This window comes from Homo sapiens, chromosome 22, assembly GCF_000001405.40.
Source record: "Homo sapiens chromosome 22, GRCh38.p14 Primary Assembly".
Lineage (NCBI taxonomy): Eukaryota > Metazoa > Chordata > Mammalia > Primates > Hominidae > Homo > Homo sapiens.
The window spans coordinates 21276729-21298202 of record NC_000022.11 but is presented as its reverse complement, the minus strand read 5'-3'; the positions used below and the strand labels follow the sequence as shown (position 1 = coordinate 21298202).

Here is a 21474-nt window from a genome sequence, read left to right as displayed (position 1 = left end):
AAATTTAATAACTATTGAAACAAACGTCAAGTTAAGATTTTGCTACAAGAAAGGTGGGTGGACATATATTAATAGTTTGGGAGTAAATGTCAATCTTTACGTTCCTGAGACCTTATATTTTATTTATTTATTTATTTTGAGATGGAGTCTCGCTCTGTTGCCCAGGCTGGAGTGCAGTGGCATGATCTCGGCTCACTGCAAGCTCCACGTCCCGGGGTTCACGCCATTCTCCTGTCTCAACCTCCCCAGTAGCTGGGACCACAGGCGCCCACCACCACGCCCGGCTAATTTTTTTTTTTTTTTGTATTTTTAGTAGAGACGGGGTTTCACCGTGTTAGCCAGGATGGTCTCGATCTCCTGACCTTGTGATTCACCCGCCTCAGCCTCCCCAAGTGCTGGGATTACAGGTGTAGTAAGCCACTGGCCCAGTCTCTTTTTTTTTTTTCCTGGCAGTTACTTTCTAAATTACATGTTTTTTGTTTTTTCCTTTAAAACCTTTATTGTTGACAGGTTTTTCCACTTACATTATTTATCTTGCCTGGGCCATGCTCTTCCCTAAAAATTCCACTAGAGAGAAACTAGCTTCCAAGCTTTTTCAGGTTGTTAGCAGAAGTAACTTCCTTGAGGCTGTAGCTCCGAGGAGCTCAGCTTTTTGCTGCCTGTTGGCTGAAGGCTGCCCACAGTTCCTTGCCATGTGGGCTTCCTCAACTTAGCAGTTTACTTCATCAAGCCAGCAAAGTGGATATGTGTCCCAGTCTCCTACGACGCAGTCCTAAATAATGTGGTGAAGGGAAGTCGTAATCAATGTCATCAATGGACTCAGATAAATCACATCATTTTTGCTGTGTTCTCTGGGTTAGAAGAAAGTCACAGGTCCCATTCACATGGAAGAGGAAGGGATTTCACAAAAGCATGGACACCAGGCACTTTATATCTATCCATGCCCACATTTTACAGAACAAGAGAAAGACCATAAAATGAAACTCTTGAGAAATGATCATTCAACATATGACTTTAGTTGCCAACCTCTCAGGCTACTTTTAAAAATATAAACATATGTTCCAGTTTAGATATATGAATATTTGAACACTTTCCTGGAGTCCTTCTTTTAAGATCACAAATAGGGAATATAACTTTATAGCTTAGATGATATATAAAAAATAAAGATCAGATGTAACCAGAAACTGAGTTTCTTTTTTTTTTTTTTTTTGAGATGGAGTCTCACTCTGTTGCCCAGGCTGGAGTGCAGGGGCATGATCTCAGTTCACCACAACCTCTGCCTCCCAGGTTCAAGTGATTCTCCTGCCTCAGCCTCCCAAGTAGCTGGGACTACAGGTGCCTGCCAGCATGCCGGGCTAATTTTTGTATTTTTAGCAAAGATAGGGTTTCACTATGTCAGCCAGGCTGGTCTTGAACTCCCGACCTTGTGATCTGCTTGCCTTGGCCTCCCAAAGTTCTGGGATTACAGGCATGAGCCACTATGCCTGGCCCAGAAACTGAGTTTCTACTCTGGCAAGTTAAACAAAAAATTAGTACATATCAGGCTGGGTGGCTCTAGGCCACATGCAAGCAAGCTGCAAACTGAATTGCCTCTGCAGCTGCAGAAGGCTAATTTCTACATTGATATTTGGAAACACTAACAGCTAGAAAACACCACTCTACTCATTTTTAAAAATAAGATCATATTAAATGATGTTACATGCATCATTTATATATTGCTCGCAGTGCCAGCATCCTCAAATATGGTTTTAATTTTGGTAGATATCTTGCTAGGGGGAGCACATTTCCAAGTTATCCAGATATAGGGCCCTCTTTCCTTCTCTTTCTGTCCACGTGCAACCAGATGCTTTGTGGAGTTAAAGTTGACATTTATTTAAATGCCACTTGGTGTCTGGTTTTTCACCTTTAATTTAGGGTTTTCTAGCTGGGATGTAAAAGAATCACTTGGAGGGATTTTTCAAAATACCAATGGCCAGGCCACTAGCCAGTCAATCAGAAGCAAAATCTCCTTGGATGGGACCTGGAAGTCTTTACAGTTTTCCAGCATTTTAATGAACATCCCTGATTAAGAACCACCGGGTCTTAAGAGTGTGCCATATGTATTTTTCAAGTTCCTAGAGGCTCTCCAAAACAAAACAAAAAAAATCTGCTTTATTCTCTGCCTGGTGTTGATGCATCAGTCTCTTTAGCCGTTAGTCTGATCCTGGAAATTTATGGTCATAATTTGATGAGCAATGTTGGGAATGACTTCTTCTTCTTTTTTTTTTTTTTTTTGTTTTGAGACAGAGTCTCACTCTGTTGACCAGGCTGGAGTGTAGTGGGGCGATCTCCGCTCACTGCAACCTCCACCCCAATACTTTCATTTTTAAATATTATTTATGGCATCCAGATTTGCATAAGATGGACTGGGTCAATGGCCATGCCCTTTATAAATCAATATTCTTAAGTTCTGCAAATTCAGTTTCCTAAAGAGCCAAATCACATCCTACTCATCAGCAAGGCGGGTAGACATCATTTTCACAATCACTTCTAATTTTCCACCATTGTAAAAAAAATAAAATATGTAATCACTTTCTTATTGTAAAATAAAGAATTTACTTTTCCAGGACCTACTGCCTCCCTGTTCCCCCCCCCCTTTTTTTTTTTTCAAACAATCTTGAACCCTTTGTCACGAGTCAGTTGCCAAGAGAAGCCTATTTGTTGGTTTGAGAGCAGTTCATGCAGACACAGACCACTTCCTCTGAGAATTCATTTGCTTCCCCAGGATGGAATCTGGCTGGGCCTCTGACCTTGCTGGTCACGTGGGCCGGGGCCTCCATCAGTCATACCCTGGACTCCTATCTGTGTCTAAACACACGCCCCACCCCCAACTGCACGGCAGCCACTCGCATAGCACTCTGGGAGGGCTGTGGGCATGAGCAGCGAGGACTCCATCAGCAGCTCCCCCACATAAGCCCTGCTGATGAGGGGGCTTGCGAAGCAGCTTTGATGTGCTGGTAAATCCAGGTGCAAAACAGAACTCAAGTTAAGGCCTCCGCACAGCACTGCGTTCTAACTGTGAAGGATTCTTACTCTAGTGTCCTGTGTGGAGGTATTGGAATTGTCCATTGCTAAGACTCAGAGGAGAAAAGCACTTAGCATCGCAGGACTTGGAGCACCGGTGCTGAGGCAACCCTTCATTCATTCGTCGGATGTGTGTTAAGGCCCAGGGCAGGGGTCAGGGTTTCTCCTCTCACACAGCACGTGGGTGGCAGGACCAACACCGGGTCTGACCTCCCAGCCGGGGGCACAGGCTGCTAACCCCAGGCCTGGAATCTGTCAGATGCCCTTCCCGTGCTGACTTGACTTAGACAGGCCTCCTGACCTTCCCGCAAAGGTCATGTGTGATTCGCAGGGGTTCTGGCCGCTTGAAAGGTTCCTGAGAAAGTACATGCAATGAGGACAGAGCTTGCAGAGGGAGGACAGGCATGCAGAAGGCTCTGTGTGCAGCCCCAGACCTGGGTACCTTCGTCACCGTCCTCACCCCACCTCCGGGTGCGCAGATAGGGAGCAGGTCTCCTGTGTTATGGCCCAAGCAGGGCTGTTAGGACACTGAGAACATTCCCTCCTCCCGCAGGAGAGAGAGGTCCAAGGTGCCCTACATCGTGCGCCAGTGCATGGAGGAGATCGAGCGCCGAGGCATGGAGGAGGTGGGCATCTACCGCATGTCTGGGGTGGCCGCAGACATCCAGGCACTGAAGGCAGGCTTCAACGTCAGTGAGTGTCGGCCTGCGCAGGACGGGATGGAGGTGTGGGCAGTGGTGTCCCCGATGAGATCTCAGAGTGCTCCATGGCCCAGGCATGTCACATCCTTCTCTGTGTCTTTTCTTCATTTACTGTTTTATTATTTTTAAAAAAGAGAAAACAAGAGTTGTACAAACAGCTTCTATAGAAGCCAGTTTTTACACCATCGTACCCACTCGTGCCACTTGGTGCAGTGGACCAGGGGCTTCTGCGGGGCCTTGGCCTTCCTGCCTTGGGGTTGGACAGGAGGTGGAAGCCCAGGACTCAGTGCGGTCTGTCCACTGCCCTGTATGAGGATGTGGTGGGCAGAGGGCACTGATGAAATTCAGCGCAGGCCGGGGCTGCAGCCTCTCCGCCTCCATCTCACCAACCCTCACAGGCTTTGAAGGACCCGGACCTGCCTCAAATGCCAGGGGAGGGCACTGAGACCCCAGAGGGTCCTTCCCAGCATCTTCAAAGCAACAGGATTTTGTGCCTGCAGACCCTTCTTTGCAGCACACACCACCCACCCTGACCAGGACCCTTAGAATGCCCAGCATCCCTGGGAGGGCCCTGTGGTAGTTTCAGCTCCCTCTGAGGGCCCAGAATGAACCTGGCCTGTGGTGAGGATGTAAGCACCAATGGCCAATTGGGTCCAAAGGAAGACACCGGTTCAAACACTGAAACCAATCAGATTCTCCCACGGCCTTCCTGCTATCAGAAGACACTGGTGCAGGGGTGGTTGCTATGTACAGGGCAGAGCCACCCAATCCCCACGCAGGCGCTGTGTCCTGCCATGCTGGCCTCCTCCTGGCCATCACATCAGGCCAAGCAGGGGAGAGGAATGGGAATGCCCACGCACCCCTATCAACTCTGCAGACACAGAACCATGCACAGCTCTTGGGAGGAGTCAGATGAGCTGCTCAAAGCCCAGGAGGGACCCACACAGTGGTCAGCATGGCAGGGACGGTGCTTTAGCCAAGGCAGGGATGGTGGGTGACTCACTCAGGATCTTCAAGGAGGCCGCTGCATTTCCGTGCTCTTTCCAGATAACAAGGACGTGTCAGTGATGATGAGCGAGATGGACGTGAACGCCATCGCAGGCATGCTGAAGCTGTACTTCCGTGAGCTGCCCGAGCCCCTCTTCACTGACGAGTTCTACCCCAACTTCGCAGAGGGCATCGGTGAGCACTGGAGGCCTTGGCCTCATGGGAGACGTCTCCTCCACGTGCACTGCTGCCCTCAGAGGCTGTGAAAAGTGAGGTGTGGGAACCCGAGCTGTGCTTCCTCTGCCATGGTCGGAATTTTAACCCAACCTCAAAAAGCAGGGGACCAAAACTGAGCCTATCCTGGAAGGCCTTGCCCATCCCCAGAGGGCTCCCCATCCATATTTCTCAAGGAGGCCAAGTGGGTGAAATGGTCAGCACTGCCGTGCTGTGGGGTCCTAAAGTCTGCTGTCCTCCTTCCTGCAGACCAGGGCTAAACACTGGTGCCCAGGTGCTCTTGCCATGGGTCCTGGTCCAGCCAAGCATGGTTTCAAACATGACCTGACCCTTAGTCAACCTGGAGGCTGATGTCTAGAGTGGGCGCTGGAGCGTGCAGCACCTGTAGCCTGTGCATCACCCTTAGGGCAGGTCTGCCTCCCGGGCCCATGCACAGAGGACCTGGTCTCCCAGCCTGCAGGTGCCCCTGTGGTGTCCAGGATGTCGAGGGGGTCTCTGCGTACTTGGTGGGGCTGGGACCCTCCCACTTCCCACCTCCTTGTGTCCCTCACTCCCCTGTTTCATTCCATGCTGAGCCTCCCCTGCCTTGGGCTCCCTGGGGAGGGGGTGGTGGCAGGAGTTGCCCGAGGGCAGCTCTGCCCATGAGCAGCTGCTCTAGCGGCTCCTCCTGCTGCTGTTCGCCGGGTGCTGCTGACCCCTGCGAGGTAGAGAAAAGGCGTTCAGGTGGTTCACACCCCACACAGGTGCCCCTCACAGGGTCCTCACTGGCGGCCAGCGCTGTGGGTGTGACGATGATGACAAGCCTAAACTGCGCAAGGACTCGTGTCCCTGGCGCTCCATGTGACCACCTCGGGAGAGGTCTCCGGCTTGTCGTAACCCAGGGGAGTGACCCACTGCCTCCTGCAGCTCTTTCAGACCCAGTTGCAAAGAAGAGCTGCATGCTCAACCTGCTGTCGTCCCTGCCGGAGGCCAACCTGCTCACCTTCCTTTTCCTTCTAGACCACCTGGAAAGGTAGCCCAGCTCTCTTGTGGCTGCCCAGGACTCCAGGTCTCCAGGCCGTGGGGTGCCCCTCTGCTCCCACCAGACCCCCAGCACCAAGGACCTTTTCCCCCGACCCCTGTCTGCAGTAACTCACTGCTTCTAAGGACTAGCACCACTGCCACCCCCGCCCCTGCCTCTCCTCTTTGCCACCCTCCTCCCTCTGCACTGTGGCCTTAACAAAGAGCTCAGAGCTTTGGCCGTGGCCAGCAGTGCATTTGGACCGCCCCCCCTTCCCTCCCAAGCACATCAGGAAGACCTCCCCATCAGCCCAGAGCTGGCCCCTTGTCCTGGGCCACTGAGACCCAGAAGTACCAAGGCTGGAGTCAGCTTGCAGCACAGCCAGGGTCGAGGTCACTCCCTCCCTGAGGACTCTAGCACGGCACAGCCCCTCTGCCTCTCTCCTGGTGGTGGCGTTGAAACAGCACCCTCTGCTTCGGTCCTCTACAGGATGGCAGAGAAGGAGGCAGTCAATAAGATGTCCCTGCACAACCTTGGCACGGTGTTTGGCCCCACGCTGCTCCGGCCCTCCGAGAAGGAGAGCAAGCTCCCTGCCAACCCCAGCCAGCCCATCACCATGACTGACAGCTGGTCCTTGGAGGTCATGTCCCAGGTATGGGAAGACAGCCTCCAGCCCATGCAACCCCAGCCTGACAGAGGTGGCCTCTGCCTGCCCCACCCCCAGTCCTGCCCATCTTCCGACTTGCATTGTATGTGGTGGTGGCTGAGATTCAGAGACAGGGACTTGCCTAGGTTTGCATGGATGGGAGTGATAGGGGGTGCCTAGGCCACCTCCTGGTCCTGCTGGTGCACCTTGCTGGGGGCTTAAAACCACCCCAAGTGTTCGAGTGTGGTGGCTCATGCCTGTAATCCCAGCACTTTGGGAGGCCGAGGCAGGACAACTGAACCCAGGTGTTTGAGACCAGTCTGGGCAATGTAGCAAACCCCATCTCCAGAAAAAATACAAAGAAAAATTAGGCAGGCATTGGGGCACATATCTGTAATCCTAGGTATCTGGGAGGCTGACACAGGAGGATTGCTTGAGCCCAGGAGTTAGAGGCTGCAGTGATCCATGATGGAGCCACTGTACTCCAGCCTGGGGGACAGAGCAAGGCCCTGTGCATCTCTAAAATAAATAACCACCCCCCACCCAACAAGTCATGCCTTGTCAGGACCCCACCCCACCCCCGTCTCACTGTAAGGGGTTCATGACACCAGCAGGGGTTTCTAGCACCTGAGGTGGACTTGGGATCTTGGGCCCCAAAGACCTCCCACCAGCAGCTGTGCGCCCCCTTCCGAGCCACTCTCCTCTTCCCCACTCCGCGAGGGCAGGTCGAGGTGCTGCTGTACTTCTTGCGGCTGGAGGCCATCCCTGCCCTGGACAGCAAGGGACAGAGCATCCTGTTCTCCACCGATGTCTAAAGGTCCCAGTCCATCTCCTGGAGGCGGACAGACGGCCTGGAAACCTCTGGCTAATCAGGCCATCTGTAGAGTGGGAATCAAGATTTTCTGAGGCATCCTTGGGCCACCCCCAGGTGTCAGGCCATCTGCCAAGAGACAGCGGCCCAAAGCAGAAGGACAGGTGGCCTGGGCAGATCCCGCCCAGGTCTGAAAGCCCCAGGCTGGCCTCAGACTGTGGGTTTTTTATGTGGCCACCCGAGGGCGCCCCAAACCAGTTCATCTCGGAGTCCAGGCCTGGCCCTGGGAGACAGGGTGAAAGCAGTGGTTTTTATGAACTTAACTTATAGAGTCTAAAAGATTTCTACTGGATCACTTGTCAAGAAGCGCCCTCTCTGGGGAGAAGGGAACGTGACCGGATTCCCTCACTGTTGTATCTTGAATAAACGCTGCTGCTTCATCCTGTGGGGGCCGTGGCCCTGTCCCTGTGTGGGTGGGGCCTCTTCCATTTCCCTGACTTAGAAACCACAGTCCACTTAGAACAGGGTTTGAGAGGCTTGGTCAGCACTGGGTAGCGTTTTGACTCCATTCTTGGCTTTCTTCTTTTTCTTCCCAGAAGGATTTTTGTGCAGAAATGGGTCTTTTGTTGCCGTGTTAGTCCTCCTTGGAAGGCAGCTCAGAAGGCCCGTGAAATGTCGGGGGACAGGACCCCCAGGGAGGGAATCCCAGGATACGCACTTTAGGGTTCGTTCTCCAGGGAGAGCGACCTCGTCCCCCGATCCTGACCGCCCTTCCGGCCCACGCTCTCCTGTTTGGCTTCCACAGGCCTGGACTTCTCTGGCTTCTCTGCCCACACACTCCCTGCCCCCAGTGTCCCTGCCCCTGCCCCAGCACAGGTGACTTCATTTCTGTCCTCTCAGCTCAGTGGACTCGCTCAACTTTTGTATAAGTCTCCACTTGGTGGCAGCAGCTTGCTGATGACTTGTTTTAAAACTTTCATCCTAAATAACCTTTTGATACTTGAATATTTGTAAGTTTTATACATAGTTTCTAATTTTTTCCCCAACAGATCCAGATACCTAATAAGATGCTGGAATGTAATCCCTGGACAATCCGTGTCCTGGCAGCATTTGGTCTTCCTCTAAGCGCCTGGCTCCGCTGTTCTCAGGAGTGGGTTCTGAAGTCTCTGGAGAACAGGATACGTGGAGGGTTAGGAAGGGGCCAGGCCTAGAGACGGGAGACTCCCTCCCGGAGCAGGTGGAGGCACAGGACCATTCGCTACCCCATCTGCCGGCACCTGCGGGGGAGCCCAGGCATTCTTTGTAAGCCCTCCTGACCACCTGGCTCAAAGAAAACAGAAGCATGGAGGCCGCCAAGTATTTTCAAGAAATAACCCCATGAACATGGCATCACTTTTTTAGAAAGAGGGGCTTGGGGCAGGCAGAGGAGAGAAGGGAGAGCAAACTGAGAGCCAAGTTTCCAGACAGTCCTGCAGGAGGAGAGGATGCAGCTGCGCAGAGGGAAGCAGGATCACATTTAAGGAAGTGTGTGGAGTCCCTGGATGACACCAGCACCCAGTGCGGCTCTGTCTGGCAACCGCTCCCAAGGTGGCAGGAGTGGGTGTCCCCTGTGTGTCAGTGGGCAGCTCCTGCTGAGCCCGCAGCTCACTGGGGAGCCTGACAGCGGGGCCATGTGCCTGACACTCCTCTCTGCTTGTGGACCTGGCAAGGCAGGGAGCAGAAAACAGAGCCACTTGAAGGCTTTCTGTCTGCGTCTGTGTGCAGTGTGGATTTAGTTGTGCTTTTTTCTTGCTGGGAGAGCACAGCCACCATTTACAAGCAGTGTCACCCTCGTGGGTGGCGAGGACAGAACAGGAGCCTCTGCTCTCTGTACCTATCTGGGCCCGGTGGGCTCCCTTGTCCTGGCTTCCATCTCTGTCTCAGCGACCATTCAGCCCTGCGCAGGAACACATGTTGCTTAGAAAAGCCAAATCCAGCCTTGTCTCTGCCTCCTCTGGTCTCATGATGTGCATCTGTTACCTTGAAACTGGAAACCAGTCTATCAATGTCTGTGCCAATTTTTTATTCCCTCCCCAACCTCCTTCCCCATACGACTTTTTATTTATGTAGGATGTGTGCTGTCTAATGATGGGATGACCACACTTTTCCATGTTCTAAAAGTGCTCCTCTCCCGCAGGGTCCCAGGGCTGGTGGTTGCTTTGGGTCTACAGCTACGTCTTACCCGCCTCCTGCCTCAACAGCCTGTGTGGTGGCAAAGCCGGTGTGGGGCTGGGGAACGCAGCGTTCTCCAGGAGGGGGACCCGGCTCTCCTTCTGCAATGCAGGCGAAGGCCTAGATGCCAGTGTGACCTCCCACAAGGCGTGGCTTCCAGACTCCCCGGCCGGAAGTGATGCTTTTTTGCCGTGGGCCCTGGGTTTGAAGCAGCCTGGCTTTCTCTTGGTAAGTGGCTGGTGTCTTAGCAGCTGCAATCTGAGCTCAGCCACCTACACACCACCGTGGCCGACACTTTCATTAAGAAGTTTCCTGAGACGACTTGCGTGCATGTTGACTTCATGATCAGCGCCGCTGGGAAGAACCCCTGAGCCGGTGGGGTGGGGCTGGAAGCAGCAGGTGCAGTGATGGGGCTGGGTGCCCAGGAGGCCTCAGTGCTCAATCAGGCCAAGGTGGCCAAGCCCAGGCTGCAGGGAAGGCCGGCCTGGGGGGTGTGGGTGAGCACAGGCAGGCACCAGCTGGGCAGTGTTAGGATGCTGGAGCAGCATCCGTAACTCCACTGAGTGGGGTAGTCTGGTTGGGGCAGGGACCGCTGTTATTTTGGCAGAGAGAGATGATCCCCACTGGGGAGAGGCTGTTCTGACTCTGCAGGTGGGACAGGGACAGATGGCCACCAGGGTGACCCGGCTGGTCTTCCTTTGCTATGCTAAGCCCTGGGACATGGAGGATTCCTGCCACACAGCCTGGGCCCGGGTTCTTACCTGTGGCCACCGCTCTGGCATGAGCCCCTCAGTCTTGGGTGGTTTCTGCCTGGTCCAGGATTTGGTGTTGCTGCTGAGTCCAGCCTTTCCACCACCTCCGCATGGGCTGTGGGTGTTGTCAGCTGCCTCCCGCCTTGGCTTCAGTAGCTCACCCAGCTTACAGGGGAGCTGCCCTGGGCTGGAGATGGGCACGCACCCTGGGTCCTACTTGAATGAATGCAGCTTGAGGAGACCCGGCCATATACACTGGGCCACAGGTTACCTTCGGCAATGCCCACATCAGCCGTCAGCCTGAGCCTCCCCAGGAGAGCAAGGCTCACACGACAAAGGCTGCCCGTGGCCAATGAGGTGGCTGAGCCCAGCCAGGACCTTTCTCGGACTCCCGGGATGTGGCTCTGCTCGTGAGCTGCCTGGTCAGCTCTCTCGGGGTGAGAGGGGCTTGTCACACGGGCCCCTGCCTGCAGTGTGACCCTTCTCAGCTTCTCTCAGCAGCCCTGCCTGCGGAGTGTCACCGCCACCATGATCATTTCCCTGACACTGCGAGGGTGGGGGGACGTCCTGGGTAGAGACAGGGCCCGTGGCAGCAGCAGGCTCAGGGGCACCCTGCACTGGTGGGCTGGGGACCTGGTGGAGACCACGCCAAGGGCTGGACAAGGGGACGAGCCTCCACCCTGGCCTCTCCGCAGGCCTCAGCAGCCCCTTCCACAGGCAGAAGGGTTGACACTGGGTTCTGCCCTCACTACAAGAGCTGCAAGTGCCACGTGCTGTTCTGCCCAATCTGGTGTCTGCAGGTGAGGGAAGGGCTGCCGCTGGCCCGTTTCTGAGTGTTCAGCACCTAAGGGTGACAGCACTGTCTGTCCCTACCCTCCGGGTCCTGTTTGAAAATCAAGCCCATGCTCACAGGCCGATTTTTTTTTCTTTTAGAGACAGGGTCTCACTTTGTCACCCAAGCTGGAGTGCAGTGGTGCGATTATAGCTCAATGCAGCCTCCAATTCCCGGACACAAGGGACCTTCCTGCCTCAGCCTGCCAAGTAGCTTGGACTATAGCTGTGTGTTTTCTTATTATTTTGTAGACATGGAGTCTGGCTATGTTGTCCAGGCTATTCTCAAAATTCCCGGCCTCGAGCAATCCTCCTGCCTTGGCCTCTCAAAGGTTGGGATTACAGGTGTGAGGCAAGGCACCCAGCTCAGCCACAGAGCCCTGTTGCATCTCTCTTACTAGGAGCAAGAGCTGACTGCCCCCTCATCCCCATTCCAGAGTGTTGGGGCTGTGTTCAGCCGAGGCCAGGCCACTGGCATGGCCCAGGGAGCGGGATCATTCACTGCTGCCCCAAATCTGAGATCATTCCACCTTGACAAGACTTCCTCATCCAATCCCTTTACTTGACAGCTGGGGAAACCAGTGCACACAGAGCACCCCCAGCTCACTCGGGGTCTCAGAGCTGATCCATGAGCGGAGGCTGAGATCCTGGGATCTTGTCCCCCAGCCTCCCTGCAAGCTTACTCCCTTTCTGCTGGAAGAGATGGGGCCGGACCTCGACCAGCAGCCCTGGCCTGGACATGACTGTGCTCATGCAGGTATTGAGGCCGAGATGCTCCAGCATCATATGTTTTTCTTTTTTTTTTTCTTTCTTTTTTGAGATTGGCTCACTGCAACCTCTGCCTCCCGCTTAAAGTGATTCTCCTGCCTCAGTCTTCCAAGTAGCTGGGCCTACAGGCTTGTACCACCACACCTGACTAATTTTTGTATTTTTACTAGAGACGGGGTTTCCCCATGTTGGCCAGGCTCGTTTCGAACTCCTGACATCAGGTGATCCACCTGCCTTGGCCTCCCAAAGTGCTAGGATTACAGGCATGAGCCATGGCGTCACTTAAATGTAGTGAGAGGCCGGGCTTGGCGGCTCATGCCTGTAATCCCAGTGCTTTGAGAGGACGAGGCTGTCAGATCACCTAAGGTCAGGAGTTCGAGACCAGCCTGGCCAATATGGTGAAACCGTGTCTCTATAAAACAATAGAAAAAAATATCCCTGCATGGTGGTGAGTACCTGTAGTCCCAGTTACTCAGGAGGCTGAGGCATGAGAATCGCTTAAACCTCAGAGACGGAGGCTGCAGTAAGCTGAGATGGCGCCACTGCACTCCAGCCTGGGTGACAGAGCAAGACTTTGTCTCTAAATAATTAAATAAATATGGCCGAGAATGGTGCCTTAGGCCTGTAATCCCAACACTTTGGGAGGCTGAGGCAGGTGGTTCATGAGGTCAGGAGCCCGAGACCAGCCTGGCCAAGACGGTGAAACACTGTCTCTACTAAAAATACAAAAATTAGCCAGCTGTGGTGGCAGGCACCTGTAATCCCAGCTACTTGGGACACTGAGGCAGGAGAATCGCTTGAAACTGGAAGTCAGAGGTTGCAGTGAGCCGAGATTGCACCACTGCACCCTAGCCTGGGTGATGGAGCAAGACTCCATCTCAACTAAATAAATTAATAAATACAGAGCAAGATTCCATCTTAAATAAATAAATAAACATACACCTGTAATCCTAGCACTTCGGGAGGCTAAGACAGGTAGATCACCTGAGGTCAGGAGTTCGAGACCAGCCTGACCAATATGGCAAAACTCCATCTCTACTAAAAATACAAAAATTAGCCAGGCCTTTTGACGTGTGCCTGTAGTCCCAGCTACTTGGGAGGCTGAGACAGGAGAATTGCTTGAACCCAGGAGGTGGAGTTTGCAGTGAGCCGAGATCTCGGCTGTACTTCAGCCTGGGTGACAGAGTGAGACTCTGTCTCAAAAGGAATAAAAAAAATACAAAAAAAAATGTAGTATGATTGCAGAGTCGTGCCGCGGAAGCCTGCTGGTCCTATCCATGTAGTGAAGGCTGATTTCATACAGAAATGTCACAATAACTTTTTTTCTTTTTCTTTTTTTTTGAGACGGAGTCTCGCTCTGTCACCCAGGCTGGAGTGCAGTGGCGCGATCTCAGCTCACTGCAAGCTCTGCCTCCCGGGTTTATGCCCTTCTCCTGCCTCAGCCTCCTGAGTAGCTGGGACTACAGGCCTGTGCAGCAGATGCTGGGGGGCCACTAGGCCCAGGCAGTCTTGGGACTTGTGTCTCTCCTGCTGTGCATCCATACTGGGTGCTTTAGAAATGGCAGGCAGACCAGAAGCCCCTGTTGCAAGTGAGGACAAAGTGTGGGAAGGCCGTGAGGGTCTGCAGTACTAAATGGCCTTGTCCTCAACCTGCAGTGCACTCCTGATGCGCTGGAAAGCCGCCTCCTTCTCCTGGTCCAGGTCTTCAGCAGTGACCCGGTACCCCAGCTCTAAGGGAGGTGGCAGCATCAAAGGCTCCCCTCGCCTGCGTGGCAGCAGGGGAAACTTGCATCTACAGGGCCTAGAGGCCTGGGATCTGGGGGAGCCACCCCTGGGGGCGAGTGTCTGCCCTGGTGCTGTATCTGCCATCTTTTCACACTGGGTGTGACCCGAAGAGACAGCCTGAGGTCCGTCCTCACTCACTGTGTTTCAGGAACTGAGGGTCAGCTGGCAGTGGGATGAGGCTGGCCCCCTTCTCCGCTTTCGTTCCGGGAGGCCTCCCGTAGAGCGGTAGGGGCTCGAGATGGCATTTCGTTTGGGGCACGAGCTGGTCCGGGAGGTCTGGGATCTCTGGTTCTGACCTCTGGGCACCTGCTGCAGCTGTGGCTGAGGCCCAGAAATGTGAAGGGCCTCCATCCACTCCAGTAGTGACCCCAACGTGGGGTTCAATGTGGAGGGGGGAGGGGCTGCTGCGGCAGCTGCAGGAGCAGAAGTGCCACACCTTGTTCTTCTCATGCCCGCATCCATGCTTGCAGCTGGGAAGGGGGCAGGAATCAGCGAGGTGACCTGGGCTGAGTCCTGGGAATGGGAAGAGGTGGCAGGAAGGGGATCTGAGGAGGAGAACAGGGGGCCTGGTGGTCTGTGCTTCTTCCCAGACATGGGAGCTGTAGAGGGGACCCCTGCAGCAGATGCTAAGGGGGCCAGTAGGCCCAGGCAGTCTTGGGACTTGTGTGTCTCCTGCTGTGCATCCATACTGGGTGCTTTAGAAACGGCAGGCAGACCAGAAGCCCCTGTTGCAAGTGAGGACAAAGTGTGGGAAGGCCGTGAGGGTCTGCAGTCCGAGATGGCCTTGTCCTCAACCTGCAGTGCACTGTTGATGCGCTGGAATGCCGCCTCCTTCTCCCGGTCCAGGTCTTCAACAGTGACCCGGTACCCCAGCTCTAAGGGAGGTGGCAGCATCAAAGGCTCCCCTCGCCTGCGTGGCAGCAGGGGAAACTTGTGTGTACTGGGCCTAGAGGCCTCGGATGTGGAGGAGTCATTCCTGAGGGCGAGTGTCTACCCTGGTGCTATATCTGCTGCCTTTTCACACTGGGTGTGACCTGAAGAGACAGCCTGAGGCCTGTCCTCACTCACTGTCTTTGAGGAACTGAGGGTCAGCTGGCAGTGGGATGAGGCTGGCCCCCTCCTCCGCTTTAGCCCCGGCAAGCCTCCCGTGGAGCTGTAGGAGCTGGAGATGGCATTTCGGTTGGTGCAGGAGCTCGTCCAGGAGGTCTGGGATGTCTGGTTATATCTGATTTCTGACCTCTGGGCATGGAGGTCTGTCTGCAGAGGCCCGGGCCCGGGCACAAAGGGAGAGAGGCCTCTATTGTCCCGCAGGGGCCGAAATGCAGACGGTGCATCCCCGGTGACCTCGGGGACCCTTCTCTGATCACCAGGATTCTCTTGGACTCTAGGGTCCTTGTCCTGCTCAGGCATCCCTGCCCCGCTCTCCTTGAGGGCCCTCAACACTATCTTCCCTGGACACAAGTCTGGGGACAGCCGGCTGTTGTGGACCCCAAAGGGGTGACTCCCGGCTCCTGGGCCCCACAGAGAGTCCATGTTCTCAGTGCAGTGGCTGAGCTGGAGGACGCCCTGGAACTCGGAGCACGCAGCACTGGCTTGCTGTGGTACCTGTGCAATCAAATTGAAGGCAGGATCCCAGGAAGGAAGGCAGGGCTTGCAGGATCACGGAAAACCTTCTTAGAGTTGTCTTGACACCACTGATGTCAAGTGTCCGGGTGCTTGTAGGATGGCCTGCCACTCAGTCCACGGGCAGGAGCAACGGGGAGATCCCACAAGCAAAGTGAACTGGGGGATGGGCTGAACGGGCTCCAGGCAACTGAGCCCTACTGGCAGGTCCTCGGCCTGGGCCCGAACAGGAAGGAGGGGCACAGAGTGCCCAGGTAACCGCTCCTGGGAGCAGTGGGGAACCGTCGGTTGCTTGAACTCTCGAGAGCTGGGCTCTGAGCGTCCTCGTCCAGCCGCCAACTCGGCCAACGGCTAAGCCAGCAGTTTCTTCTGTTGCCGGGCAACGCGCCTTTTAAACCTGAGGGAGCGGGCGCGTGAGCACATCACGGCGCCCGTGACAGAGCGAGCTTAACGGATTAATAAGCGCAGCCAGGTACCCGCGCGAGGCACTTGCTGGCAATGGCGGGAGGCGGACGTGGGGGGTCATGCAATAGGTACGGGAAGGAGAGAGGCGGGCACAAAGGTTGCGGGAGAAACAGGTGCCCACAATGGCGGCAGATCTGCCCGTGGATCACTGAAGATTCCTGCTCTCCTGCTGAGGTGGAGATTGCAGTGAGCTGAGATCGCACCATTGCACTCCAGCCTGGGCAACAAGAGCAAAACTCAGTCTCCAGATAAAGAAAAGAAAAAGAAAAAAAAGAGGCCGGGCGTGGTGGCTTATGCCTATAATCCTAGCACTTTGGGAGGTCGGGGCAGACGGATCACGAGATCAGGAGTTGGAGACCAGCCTGGCCAACATAGTGAAACCCCGTCTCTAGTAAAAATACAAATTTAGTCAGACATGGTGGCACGCGCCTGTAGTCCCAGCTACTCCGGCGGCTGAGACTGGAGAATCACTTGAACCCGGGGGCGGGGAAGGGATTGCGATGCGCCGAGATCGCGCCACTGCACTCCAGCCTGGGCAACAGAGCCAGACTCTTTTTTTTTTTTTTTGAGACGGAGTCTCCCTCTGTCGCCCAGGCTGGATTCCAGTGGCCTGATCTCGGCTCACCGCAAGCTCCGCCTACCGGGTTCACGCCATTCTCCTGCCTCAGCCTCGGGAGTAGCTCGGACTACAGGCGCCCGCCACCACACCCGGCTAATTTTTTGTATTTTTAGTAGAGACGGGGTTTGACCGTGTTAGCCAGGATGGTCTCGACCTCCTGACCTCGTGATCAGCCCGCCTCGGCCTCCCAAAGTGCTGGGATTAAAGGCGTGAGCCACCGCGCCGGGCCGAGACTCTGTCTTAAAAAAAAAAGGCCTGGGCTGTGGCACTTTGGGAGTCGGAGGCGGGCGGATCACGATGTCACGAGTTGGAGACCAGCCTGGCCAACATAGCGAAACCCCGTCTCTACTAAAACTACAAAAAATTAGCCGGGCGTCGTGGCGGGCGCTTGTAGTCCCAGCTACTCTGGAGGCTGAGGCAGGAGGATGGCGTGAACTCGGGAGGCGGAGCTTGCAGTGACCCGAGATCTCACCACAGCACTCCAGCCTGGGTGACAGTGCCAACCTCCGTCTCAAAAAAAAAAAAAAAAAGAGAGAGAGAGACAGAGAGAAAAAGGTTTATTGATTTAATGTACTTTTATGCCTGTGTTCTTCAATTTGCTTAGGAAAGACCCACACTTGAGAGCTGGGACTGTGTCCCTGATTGTGGACATGAAATATGTGGTTTCTTGCCAAAACTAGACACTGAATAATTACGATTTAGTTGAGCTAGAAATCCATTTGGTTTCTTCCATATTTTCCCAAAATTTTCATCCTTTTTTTTTTTTTGACATGGAGTTTCGCTCTTGTCCCCCAGGCTGGAGTGCAATGGCGCGATCTCAGCACCTGCTGGCAATGGCGGGAGGCTAGGGGACGCTGGCGGCATAGGTACTGGAAGGAGAGGCGCGCGCACAAAAGACTTGGGAAGACCTGGCGCGCACAATGGCTGCAGATCCGCCAGTGGATCACTGAAGATTCCTGCTCTCCTGTTGAGGCGGGGATTGCAGTGAGCTGAGATCACACCATTGCACTCCAACCTGGGCAACAAGAGCGAAACTTCGTCACACACACACACACACACACACACACACACACACACACACACACACACGAAAGAAAGAAAGAAAAATTAGTGGCCAGGCGTGGAGGCTCACGCATCCCAGCACTTTGGGAGGTCGGGGCGGGCGGATCACGAGATCAGGAGTTGGAGACCAGCCTGGCCAACAGAGTGAAACCCCGTCTCTAGTAAAAATACAGATTTAATCAGACATGGTGGCACGCGCCTGTAGTCCCAGCTACTCCGGCGGCTGAGACAGGAGAATCACTTGAACCCGGGGGCGGGGAAGGGATTGTGATGTGCCTAGATCGCGCCACTGCACTCCAGTCTTGGCAACAGAGTCAGACTCTCTCTCTCTTTTTTTTTTTTTTTTTTTTTGAGATGGAGTCTCCCTCTGTCGCCCAGGCTGGATTCCAGTGGCCTGATCTCGGCTCACCGCAAGCTCCGCCTACCGGGTTCACGCCATTCTCCTGCCTCAGCCTCTGGAGTAGTTGGGACTACAGGCGCCCGCCACCACACCCGGCTAATTTTTTGTATTTTTAGTAGAGACGGGGTTTGACCGTGTTAGCCAGGATGGTCTCGATCTCCTGACCTCGTGATCAGCCCGCCTCGGCCTACCAAAGTGCCGGGATTTAAGGCGTGAGCCACAGCGCCCGGCCCCGAGAGTGAATATCTTTTAACAGTGTTTTTCCTGATCTTTTCCAACATCTTCATTGTGGTTCTGTCCTTTATTTTTTGGTTAAATCCAGAGGTTTACTTCTGCCTGTATCTTTCCAAACTATTAATCTGTTCACAATCACTCTCCCATTTAAACCCTTCAGCAGCCCCAGTACCTTCGTAATAAGGTCTCCTTAGCTTGGTATCCAGAACACTTCAATACTGGGCTTTGACCCCTGTTCTCCTTCCCCCACCTCTGTTTAGGTGCTTCACTGAGCTGCACCGAACAGCTCTTGGCCCCTTGAAATCTCTGCAGTCTCCTTGTCTCCCTCTGCTGGAATATTCTTCTCTCACTTCATCTGATCATTGCCTTCAAAACTCAGCTCATTTTCTTATTTCCTTGCCCTTTTCATGTCCCTTGTTTTCCTCCGATTAAATTAATGTTCCAAACTCAAAAGAAAAACAACTCAGCTCAGGCATCACCTTGCCTGGAAGGCTTCCCTAGTCCTCCTGCCTCCCGCAGACTTGTCTGGCACCCTGTGCATTTGGGATTTGGCACACTATGTCTCATCTGCGGCCTCCACTGGACGATGAGACCGTAAGTGTGTGGCTTGACGGAAAGTTGTTGACTCTGCTGGGGTGCTGGTACAGTGCTGGGCACGGCAGTGTTACAGAGGAAGTGAGCCACTTAGTTTCTGCCCTTAGGAGCTTTTCTTCTAGTTGCAGTTGACCCTGCCAGCTGTGAGACACCTCCCAGTAGTGCATACCAACTTTCAAAGTCTGTTTAATTGTATCTTAGTGTCTGATTCCAATTTTATTTCTTGAAGGAGGGGAGTGTCTCTAATGTCTTATTTTGGCACCCAGAGACCAGGTAGGCATCATTTTTGTCCCAAATTGTGGAAGGAATGTACATTTGGCACAGATTACTTCCCTTTTTTCTCTTGTACGCCTTTCACCTTTTTTGTTTTTGTCTTTTTTTTTTTTTGAGTTTGATGTGTTTGGACAGTAAGGGTTTACGAGATTAAGATTAAATTTCAACTTTGTCTATTGTGCATATAGCCTAAGGAAAACAAAAAGAGGAAAAATACATTGCCTCTAAAAAGAAGACTCATTATTCAACTTTTTTTATTTTTAATTGTTTTCAGAGACTGGGTCTCACCCTATCACCCAGGCTGGAGAGGTGATCACAGCTCACCGTAGCCTTGAACTCCTGGGTTCAAGGGTTCCTCTTGCCTTAGTCTTCTCACTAGCTGAGACTGCAGGCCCGCACCAGCACACCTGGCTAATTTTACAAAAATTGTTTTGGAGAGATGTGGTCTTGCCATCTTGCCTAGGCTGGTGTGGAACTCCTGGGTTCAAGCAAACCTCCCACCTTGGCCACCCTAAGTGTTGGGATTACAGGCGTGACCCATTGTGCCCAGCCTAAACTTTTTTGTTTTTTTTCAATGCTGAGCTGTACACAGAAGAAAGTAAAGGTCTTGGTCAAGCCTAGGAAAGAAGTATGCAAAGAAACTGGTGGCAGGCTGGATGTGGGCATATTTCGGGGCTTTGGAAGGTGAGGAGGAGAGGATTGCTTGAGGCCGAGAGTTCGAGACCAGCCTGGGCAACATAACGAGAACCTGTCTGTACAGATAAACATTTTATAATTAGCCAGGTGTATGTACCCTAGAACTTAAAGTATAATAAAAAAAAATAAAATAAAATTCGCCAAGTGTGGTGGTGCGCACCTGTAGTCTCAGCTACCTGAGAGGCTGAGGCAGGGGGATCTCCTGAGTCCAGGTGTTTGAGGCTGCAGTGAGCCAGGATCACACCACTGTTCTCCAGCCTGGGCTACAAAGCGAGACTCTGTCTCTAAAGAAAAACATACTGGTGGCATTGTCAAGATTTGTCAAGAAATAGCCATTATGCTGGGCCCAGTGGTGTGCACCTGTAGTGCCAGCTTTTCAGGAGGCTGAAGTGGAAGAATCTCTTGAGCCTAGGAGTTTGAGTTCAGTCTGGGGAGCATTGCAAGAGCCCAGTCTCAAAAATATTAGGTCAATAAGATTTATTTTAATTAAACAAGAAAAAGAAATATCTGCTAAAATTTAAAGCTCTTCTATTCTTCCTCTGTCTCTTCTAGTGTTCTTGGGGAAGATCCCGACTTAGCCATTTTCCAGTGGCACCTCTTCCACCATGAGTTCCTGAGGCAGTCCGATGGGGCTACTTTATTCCAGAACAATCACAGTGAGACCTTTTCTCCCAATAAATGCCCCTTTTCTCTCCTTAATATATTCTCTTGCTTACAAAACACTGGTGTCTCCTTATCATGGTTTGGTTCTACCCCACTGGGCCCAAGAATTCTTGCCCAGGAGCAACTGAATTTTCTTCTTGCTTGCTTTTTAAAACTTTGGTGGGGTAGAGCCAATTTTAAATCTTCTGATCCATTTTTTCATTGCTTTTCTCGCCCTTCTGCATTTTCTGCAAATTCCGTTGAATCATTGCAGTTACTTAGGTTTGCTTCATCTCCCCCATTACAAACTACTTGCTGGAGTTTTCAACCCTAGTTCCCTCATTTTTATGATTTATGCTCATTTCTTTGTACACTTCGTCTTGCTCCATCTCCCAACTCATGGCCTCTGGCCCTGGATTATTGTTTTAGCCTTTTATTTTTTGTCTTCTTCTACCTCAACACTTATCTTCCTCTCCCAGTCTCCTGTACCCTATCACCAAGGTTGTCATTAACCTTTCATATTATTCCTCATTATCCATGTATTCATTTGCAAATAAGCGTATATTAACAAAATCACAGGTTTATGGAGATACAATTCACATACCTTAAAATTCAGGCTTTTAAAGTGTACCTTTCATGTGGTTTTTGGTATATTCACAAAGTTATGCATTGATCACCACCATCTGATTCCATAACATGTTCAATACCTCAAAAAGAAGTCTGTACTCATTAGCAGCCATTTCACATTCACCACTCCCTCTGGCTCTGGGCAGTCACTGATCTTTGTGTCTCTATGGATTTGCCTAGTCTAGGTATTTTTATGTAAATAGAATCATACAACATGTGACCTTTTGTTTGGCTTTTTTCATTTAGCAAAATGTTATTAAGGTCTATTCCTGTTGTAGCATGTATTAGCACTTCATTTCTTATATGCTGAATGATATACTTTATTTGTCCATCAGTTGTTCATGCTTTATTTGTCCATCAGTTGATGAACATTTGCGTTTTTGCCACTTTGGGCTATTATGAATAATGCTACTGTGAACAAGTGTGTACAAGTTCCTCTGCAAATTTTTG

At 52.6% G+C, this 21474-nt stretch overlaps 2 pseudogenes across 1 annotated transcript, besides 1 other annotated feature; one reads left to right on the top strand and one right to left on the bottom strand.

Moving 5' to 3' along the window:
* Positions 1-472: 472 nt before the first annotated feature.
* Positions 473-15778, bottom strand: POM121L8P (POM121 transmembrane nucleoporin like 8, pseudogene; annotated as a pseudogene). The gene is made up of 7 exons (NR_024583.1): positions 13928-15778; positions 10415-10621; positions 9316-9378; positions 8502-8608; positions 6340-7509; positions 4768-5682; positions 473-3875 (listed from the first exon to the last, which is right to left on the bottom strand). The product of NR_024583.1 is annotated as a POM121 transmembrane nucleoporin like 8, pseudogene (transcript).
* On the top strand, positions 3614-9974 carry BCRP6 (BCR pseudogene 6; annotated as a pseudogene).
* Positions 17256-18201: an enhancer, noted in NCBI's record as "H3K27ac-H3K4me1 hESC enhancer chr22:21634291-21635236 (GRCh37/hg19 assembly coordinates)". NCBI's record gives its function as "activates a minimal SCP1, AML or CMV promoter by ChIP-STARR-seq in naive H9 embryonic stem cells {active_cell/tissue: H9 hESC(naive)}" and the evidence as "EXISTENCE:reporter gene assay evidence [ECO:0000049][PMID:30033119]".